The 8447-nt window shown below is 44.6% G+C and overlaps 1 protein-coding gene across 3 annotated transcripts; it reads right to left on the bottom strand.

Moving 5' to 3' along the window:
* Nucleotides 1–1096: 1096 nt before the first annotated feature.
* Nucleotides 1097–8074, bottom strand: C11orf87 (chromosome 11 open reading frame 87). 3 transcript variants are annotated; one of them, NM_207645.4, is made up of 2 exons: nt 8001–8074; nt 1097–6889 (listed from the first exon to the last, which is right to left on the bottom strand). In NM_207645.4, the coding sequence occupies exon 2, from the start codon at nt 6628–6630 to the stop codon at nt 6037–6039; it is 594 nt and encodes a 197-aa protein (NP_997528.2). In that variant the 5' UTR covers nt 6631–6889; nt 8001–8074; the 3' UTR covers nt 1097–6036. The 3 variants fall into 3 exon arrangements, with proteins under 3 accessions (NP_997528.2, XP_011541120.1, XP_011541119.1); XM_011542818.3 differs by lacking the exon at nt 8001–8074 and adding an exon at nt 7697–7826; XM_011542817.3 differs by lacking the exon at nt 8001–8074 and adding an exon at nt 7215–7485.
* Between the last annotated feature and the right edge of the window lie 373 nt (nt 8075–8447).

Here is an 8447-nt window from a genome sequence, read left to right as displayed (position 1 = left end):
CCAAATATGTCCTGATTTAGGATCCCTTATTAATAAGCTTACCTTTCTGTCTCTTACACCCTGTCCAACTGCCATTAAGAGTTAATCATAATGCTGACATCAGGAAGAAGATGATTAAGTCCATTGCAGAAGCAGGAAACTAACCATAGTAGAAGAAGTCTTAGGTAGAGAAAAGTAGACATTAAGGGAAATATTTGCTTCTTGCAGTCTGGGACAATTTTGAGAAAAATAAGAGAAAAGTGAGGCAGGTGGCCGTTAAAGCTTTCATGCTCCTCTTCACACATATTTAGGAGCCAAAAGGAGTGATGTTGCCTTGAAAACATCTAAACAGCTTTGGAGAAGCTCAAGGATTGGAGATAAATGGCAAACTCCTTTCCTTTAAATATATTACTGTGGGTCTCAAGACCTCAGAAGAAACCCTCATGGCACCATCTAACACGAAGCAAGATTAGCAGAATTGAGGTGGAGGAGGAGGTGGATGGATGAATAATCCCAAGATAGACCCAAGCTTTTCACCAGTAGGTCCATGGCATGCAGGGCACCCAGAAGTTCCTGAATCTCCAAGAAGGGGACAATGTGTGAGAGCACTGTGGACCTATAGATGGCCGGGGTCAGGATGTATGAGTTTGAGATGGAGGGCAAAGGTCCACGGTGTAAAATTGCTGTGGTAAATGTCAACACAAAAGCCAGTAGGACAATAGCACTTCAAACTAGGGAGCAGATCCTTTTCAGCAGGGTTAAGCTAGGATCCTTCAGAATTTACAGAAGTTGGAGGCTACCTTTCCCCTAACTGGCACAGAATCATGTCAGCCACATCCCTTCCTAATATACCTGATTATATTATAGTAGAGAAGTAGAGGCAGAGCAAGAGGAAATCTGAGAATTTAAGCATATGACCTCAAGATCCTGAGCATCTGTGTAAAGGAGCTGCTACATTATTATACTGGACTGTTTATTGGGTTGTCCTAAATTTTATACACATCCCATTTCTAAGATGTAGTTGGTTTGTGAGGAAGAGCAGATGAGTTATAAAAATTTTTTGAAAACAATATAATTTCTTTGAGCATCTGAGTATAATAGAATAAGCAATTATGTTATCCTGGTATATTGTACATTAAATTGGCAAGGAAATAGTGTCCAAAAAGCCAATTAACAAGAAAACTCTTTTATTGATAGAAAAGCAAAACAAAATTTCCATGAATTCTAATATCTTTTTTCTTCTATCTATTGGATATACTCAAGTTCAAAAGTCAGTTTTTCTGTTGTCATCATTGTCACTGTTGTTGCTGTTCATCTCTCTATAGAAACAATCCCTTGTAATCACAACTGTAAGGGAAATATCCCTACCACAAATGGGTAGGACCTCCTTGATAAGTCATTGTCTCCAAATAAAGTTGATTAAATTCTTATTGTCAGCTAAGCATTCATACATGACACCAATTGTATTATTAGGTTGAAGACATTAATAAGTATTGATGTCAAGCCACATTAGCTGTTTCTCAAATGTTATCAAATAAATAACCAAATCAGAATCAGATTTACATTCATTCCAATGATTAAACACTCTCTTATAGATTGGGCAATTTATTCTAATATGAACTGAAACATCTGTGAGTTACAATCACAAGTTCCAACAAAAAATGGCCCAAATAAGTAGGCCTTTCAGATTCAAATTCAAAGTTCAGATTCACATGGGAATGGGACTAAGGAACCTGATCAGATTATATTAAAATTTCTGGTTCTACTTTAACCTGTAACTTCCACATAATATCAGCTAGCAATTGTTCAACTTTCACCCACAGAAAAGCATGAAAGCATATGTCTACATGATAAAAAAATAAAAATTTAACCATTATCTAATTAATACAATTGATACAGATAGAAATGGTGGAAAAGTCAGATGTCAAAGAAGTTTCTTAAAGCTAATTTATCCATATTATCCAAAAATGATTTCTCAAACTAAACAGATAATGGTCATATTTTCACTTTACCTTTAGCTATGCAGATATAAATTGTATTTCTACACAACATATAGGTTGAAAATGAAAAAAATCAAACCACAATCCAGGTTCCAGGTTTGTGGTCTAGATGGCCCTAAACCTCTTCTGGATATTTTTGCTTTCCATCTAGATATTTAGACCACATTGATATGGTCATAACTTTATTATCATTGCTACATTTGAGTCACTAACCTAGGAAAGGAAGCTTATCTAATTACCAATTTTCCAAGCTAACCAGGACTCTCCCCTTTCATTATTAAAGAGAAAGTCATTCAGATTTGACCCCAGAGAAACAAGTGCATGCACATACCGGACTTTTCAGTATCCTCTTTGGGTAAGAGGATGGAACAACTATTTTGGTTTCCATCTCATTCTTGTAATGACAGAAAAGAGAATACAAAAAGTCAATTGTAAATTTATACAAAACGTATGCATATATAAATACATATCTATGGGTGTATATAAAGTCTAAATATTATATCCATCTACATCTTCAAGATTCAGAGTCTTGTACCGTTGACATAATAGTATTCTCTCTCCAAATTTTCTCATTTTTAAAAACAATAAGAATCAAGCATGCCACCTTATTAATACTGAATAGCAAGTGCAGAAGTTAAGCTGTAGCTATAGGGGTTTGAAGCATTTAGTTTGACGGGACATCAGTGAATAAAATCCTTAAAATAAATTTAGCTATTTCCAGATTGCCTTTTGTTTCATAAAAATGAAAACCTAAATGCCCTGTTGGTAGCATCCCAAGCTCCTGAGACTGCCAATTGAGCCCTATAAGAAGCAGTGCTTTAAACAAGGTCTGTACAAATTGCTTGGATATGTGCTTATTGAAATAATTTTGTGTGGAAACTGGATTACTAGAATTTCATGTAATTCTCTATCTCATAAAAAAATCACAAGTAATACCACTGGAAGCTTAGGTTTTGAGTATATTAAGCTCAGTATGAAATCTGACTCACAAACTGCATCATCTTTACACAGAGCACTATTAAAAATATTAAACTACAGTCAATTAATGGAGAAAGGCACACACATTTAAAGTTGCACAATAAAAGTGTATTACAGATGTGTGCCCACGTTGAGAGGTATTGAGATCATTTGTTTTACAATATACATAATGCTTTTATTTCTCTTGCTCCTTGCATTCCTTTGGGGAGAAATGATGTAGGACAATTTCATAATTACCCCCACAGAGTGTACAGGCTGCTCCTTGGAAGGGGATTATTATTGCATGCCTTGAATATACTATGATTCATAAGGCAAGAACATATGCGTAGCTTCAGCACCAAGAAAATGGAATCGTTATCCAGCACTGCTCACAACAGAACATCTTATTGCTTTAATAAAATGGGAAATTATTCGCTGTAGAAAGTGCACCAAATAAGGGAAAGAAAGTAATATCCATGCACTTATTGGAGCTCATTGGAAATGATGAAGCTCCCTTCTGGGACCCTGATTCTATTCAAATTTCAAGTCCAAAAGTCATTCTGTAATAAGGTATTAAAGAGCTACCACTGGATGAGGGTAAGCTACAAAAATCAATGGACTTTCTTCTTCACAGTGCCTTAGTCATTCTGATGTACAGTGTAGAACTCTGATGCACTACAGGATTCCCTAGTGGCCTGAGGGAGTTAATGCACTCTTTTACCTATTACTAGGAAGTGACTAAGGCACTGGAGAAAAACTGGTTCATTGTTTAATATATTGTACCCAAAGATTATACCTGGTCTTCCTAATATTACAAGATGGCATGCTTCAATGATGATCTTCTGTGCTTCAGGAAAGGTGATTATCTTATGGGTGATTAAAATTAAGTTTATTAAATTATTTTTATAAAAGATGCAAACTGAGCTTGGGCAATTTAATAGATGACCAAAAATATTAGAGGTAATGTTTCCTCTGGATAAGAGCACATATGTCTGGACCAAGTAGACAATTTAGAACAATGAGTTGCTTGGGAGAGGGATGCTCATAGGGGCACTGTTGCCTTACACCCTGCAGGATAGTAAGGACTCTCTTGGTAGAGCTTTTTGCAGATCACTTTCATTCATACATTTTCCAAAAATTTGAATAGCTGTCAAAGGCTTGATTTCCAAGAAGAGATGTCACTGCATATAATTAATATTGTAATATGCTTCTGGCTTCTTCTGTCATTCAACCAAAGGAAACAAGGTGGTAAATAACTATAGACTACTTCCATTTCTAACATAGATGGCCTTGTCTGGCATTAGAAAATAATAAAATATTTATCTTATTTTCTCACTTTCTTTTTTTCTCAGTATTTTTGTATGTTCAGTGAAGTTAGGACAGACTGAGAAAGAGAGCCTTTCTTTTGCTGCAGGCACAGATTTGTAACTAAACAAACAAGCTGCAAACATTTGTATCCTATAAGTAATTACTGGATCTAGCTTTTCTTGAAATTCGCATGTCTTATCATCCAAATTGCCCAACATCCCCACCAGTCTCATCCCCAACCACATACAGTACAAGCAAGCACACACACCACTGCCTCCAGGTGGTAACTGCATGCAGGGAGAACTACAGGCACTGTTTAAATATTAACCATGTTTTTAATAGATGGCATTCTTGCACATCCATTATTTGTTTGTTTCTGTGGTTGTGTTTTTTCTATTATTTGCAAAAGAAAAAATAAAGCGTGTGTGTCATCTTTTTATAACAGTCTACTACAGAATAAGGTACAAAAGAACACTTCTGGAAACAGCAGAAGCCAGGTCTGCACCACTGAATTTCTCATCCAGTGGTAACCATTATATCAACAGCTGGAAATTAAGAACAATAATATACAGTTTGGAGGACATAGTACAGAACTATAGTTTTTTTCTGTATTTGGTACCAATATACTAAATATATAACAAAGGTGCACTTGTTCTAAAAATAAAACAAACGTTCTAGTTGGTTAGATACTGCACTTTCAGTACTGCACATCACCTAATACTTTTTTTTTTTTACAAAAAAGGTAACTTATGCAATGTTTAATAATAAGAAAACCAATAGTACACGCTAACTCGATTGTAGAAAAAGAAGAAAGAACCCAACCAAAAGCCAGAATAGTCACTTTCCAAAACAGCCCCTCCTCTGCCTTCACAACTAGAGGAAGTAATCAGAACGGTGAGGCGACTTCAGCACCAGACCTGGCTGGACAGCTCCCAGATCCTTTGTAAATCCTGAAAATGTCACAAGTCAAAGGTGTACGGGTGGGGGCGGGGCAGGGAATGAAAGCGTTAGCTTTTTAAAAAAAACTCATTTAAAGATTTTAACGTACTTATGCTCGGCCAGCGAGGGTCATTTTAAAAAGTAAATTAAATGCTCTGTCCTGGAAAATGTAATGGTTAACCAAAGGGTGAGAAATGGGCGGACTGGCGAGGGGTACCTGTCATAAACACTTTCCGGGGACTATTCTCTATGGCCTCTTGCAGTCCTGGTGCTTAATGTAGACATTTTCTTTATAATATACTATTGCCTGAGCCCGGCTGAGGGTGGGAATGGGGAGGAAAGGGAAGCTAAAGGAAAAGTGAAAGCTTAGGGGTCAGAGGGGAAGGAAGGAAACTAAATCTTAACTTGACAGCTATGTACATTACCGGGCCCCCTCCCCTCCCTTTGCTCCGGGAATCAATGCCTTTTATATATTTGGTAGCTTGTGCGGTTTCTCCTCCTAATTGAGGGGAGCGCGGGGTGGAATGGGAAGATGCATCCTCCATTGACAGTTAGAAATTATGTGATTTGTCATGCGCTTGGATTGTGTTATTAGTATTATAATAATTACTATAAATATTAATAAAGTATTATTATCAGCGTTATTTCTTCTTCCGAGACTTTCCTCGCCCAATATTTACAAATACCGCACAGTGCCTCGGCGGAGGAGAAACAAGAGTAAGGGGAGGGCAGGTAAGGAAACCAGGAAGAGGAAAGAGGGGCCAGAGGAAAATGGAAAAGGAAGGAAGAAGGAAAAAAGCAAGGGTGGCAAAGATGCTGGAAACGAGGACGGGGAACGAGAGGGGCTAGACGATCAGGACAGTACCACCGTTTGCAAAAGGCCCTCGCCAGCTGTGTCCAAACAGGAGGAAGCTGCGTGTGCTCCTTGGGGACTGGAGGCTGGCGGTGGAGGCGGAGGAGCACAGGGACCCTGGCACGGGAGGCCAGGGGACGAAGAGGACAACGACGAGGCGTTGGAAGGGGCGCAGAAGGGAGAGTCCCGGGGCTGCCTCTCCAGCCGGGTTTCCTTTGCGTGGGTTGGGGCCTGCCTGCCAGGTCGGGGCAGCCCCCCGCCACCGCGGCTGCCGCTGCAGTGATCCCGCTCATATTCCTCCTGAGCCCTCTGCATCTTCCGCTTCTTCATCCTACGCTTGTGGATGTGGAAAGTGGAGAGGGACAGCACGATGAGGCAGAAGATGAGGGTAACCAGGACAATCAGCACCAGCGTGGAGGAGAAGGACTGGAAGAGCTGCTGTCCCACCTGCGTGATGCAGGTGCCGCTGCCTACTGCGCCTGGGCCGCGGGCACCCGTGTTGCCGCTGCCGCTGGCGTTGGGGGAAGCAAAGGTCCGGTTGAGGAGACACGGCGGCAACGCCAGCCTCAGCTCCTTCGGCGCCCTGGCACTCATTGGCGCGGGGCTGGGAGGGGCCAGGCCCACTAGGCTTCCCCTCTTGGGCACACCGTTCCTACCAGCCAAGAAGAGGACGGAGCCCACGCCACCCAAAACTGCTCCCTGTAGCGGGAGGGGGTGTGCGAGCGAGCCAAGGACTAAGGGAGCAACTGCTGGCAAGCAAGGCGACCAAGGAGTGAGCGGCGCCCGAGAGATCCTCGCCGATACCACCTCGAACACGTCTCCACGCTCCCCTTTCCTTTGCAGAGGCACCAGGCTGCAAAGACACAAAGCTTAGTTAGAATCTCGGCCGCTGCCCAGGGGAGTGCTGTCGGGAAAGATCAACCACCACCGCAAAGCGGCCCTCTGGGCACACTGCCTGAGCTGGGCGCTGCCTGTATTTTCGGTCAGCGGACCCCAGCCTGCCGGCCCGTGGCCGTGCACCAGAGCCACCAGCAGCCTGCTCATGCCACTCGACAGGATGGGGTCTGCGCCGGCACCGCGGAGGTGCAGATTACTCAGCAGATAAGGCAGCCTCCCTTCCGCCCTTCACAACTTTATAATTGCAACAGACACGCAGCCGCTTTGGTTGAAGTCCCTACTTCCCAGAGCGCCGGCTCTCCTCTTTTCTGCGCCCTCTCGGTTGATGTCTTCGCCTGGATCCTACCCTTCCCAGCACCCACTCCGGGCCGCCGCGCGGGCTCCGGGTACGCAGTCCTCCCTTCCTTTCCCTCCCCGTCCAGACTCGCCCTCCCTGGACAGCGTCAGATCCCTTGGGTCCCATTCCCAGGGGGATACCCCTGGCACCACATCCCACTCTGCCTCTGTCCGCGACCGCGGCTGACGCGCAGGAACGCGCTCCATCTCTTCTCCAGCCTTCTTCCCTGGTATTCTCCCCTCTCCAAAAAAAAAAAAAAAAAAAAAAAAAAGCAGCTGAAGCATCTTTCTCAGCTGACACATTCCCACAAACGGCCCCCTCCTCCCCATTTCCCTGTGCCCCCAACTTGGCAGTAGCCTGCTTCTTTCTAGAGGAGCTGGAATGGAAAGGGGAGGGTTCCCGCCTGCAAAGTTTGGGGAACGGGACCTTCTTTCTGTCCTTCCCAGACCCAGCCCAAAGGCCCCGAGGCTTTTCCGGCATACTGGAGCCGGTAGACCCGCAGCGCACAGGAGAGCCTCCTTGCTGCTCCCAAGAGGCAGCTGCAAACTGTTGCACTGCGGAGTAGCGAGGTAGCGCGCAAGCAAGCCAGGGCAGGGGCCGGGGGCAGGGGCGGGGGCTGGAGCTATGGCCAGGGGTGGCTGCTCAGGCCGCGTGAGCTGTCCTCCCCACTCGCACCTGGCCGTCAGGCCACCCGGCCATCAGAAGCCTTTACTCACACCTTGTCTCTTACCTGGACCGCCGGCTGGCTGCAAGGAGGGAGCCCCCGCCGCGCGGCTGCAGTGGCGGCTGCAGAAAGCGTGGAGTGAATGGACCAGAGACCGAGCCGCGCTGCTGCCGCCGCCGCCGCCGCCGCCGCCGCCTTCGCCGCCGCTTCAGGGAGCTGAGCTCGCAGCCTATTGCCAGAGAGGCCGGTGACGTCAGGCAGCCACCGCCAGGGCTCCAAGCCACCCCTCAGGCCCCCACCCACCCTAGTACCCCAACACCTTGTCCTAGCATAGCGAGCCTCTGACACACACTTCCCAGTTCCCTGCCCTTCTCCAGCCCAGGAACTAGGAGGAGCAACCCCTACCTCCACCCTGCAAGCAACCCACCTTTCTCACTCTCTTGCCTAGGAAGAGTTGAATCTTCAGTTCTCCAGCTGTCTGATTTCGTTCTAGAGCTGACCCTTTGGTCCCAG

Source organism: Homo sapiens, chromosome 11 (assembly GCF_000001405.40).
Source record: "Homo sapiens chromosome 11, GRCh38.p14 Primary Assembly".
Taxonomy (NCBI): Eukaryota; Metazoa; Chordata; class Mammalia; order Primates; family Hominidae; genus Homo; species Homo sapiens.
Note: the sequence above shows the minus strand (reverse complement) of the source record. Positions and strands in the feature narration are given on the sequence as shown.

What these genes read in the sequence shown, in the direction of transcription:
- C11orf87 (XM_011542817.3), bottom strand. Translation starts at nt 7,396, where the DNA reads ATGGGACCCAAGGGATCTGACGCTGTCCAGGGAGGGCGAGTCTGGACG. An exon ending in GAGAGCCGGCGCTCTGGGAA is followed by an intron (nt 6,890 to 7,214) that starts GTAGGGACTTCA and finishes GTGTCTTTGCAG; the next exon opens with CCTGGTGCCTCTGCAAAGGA.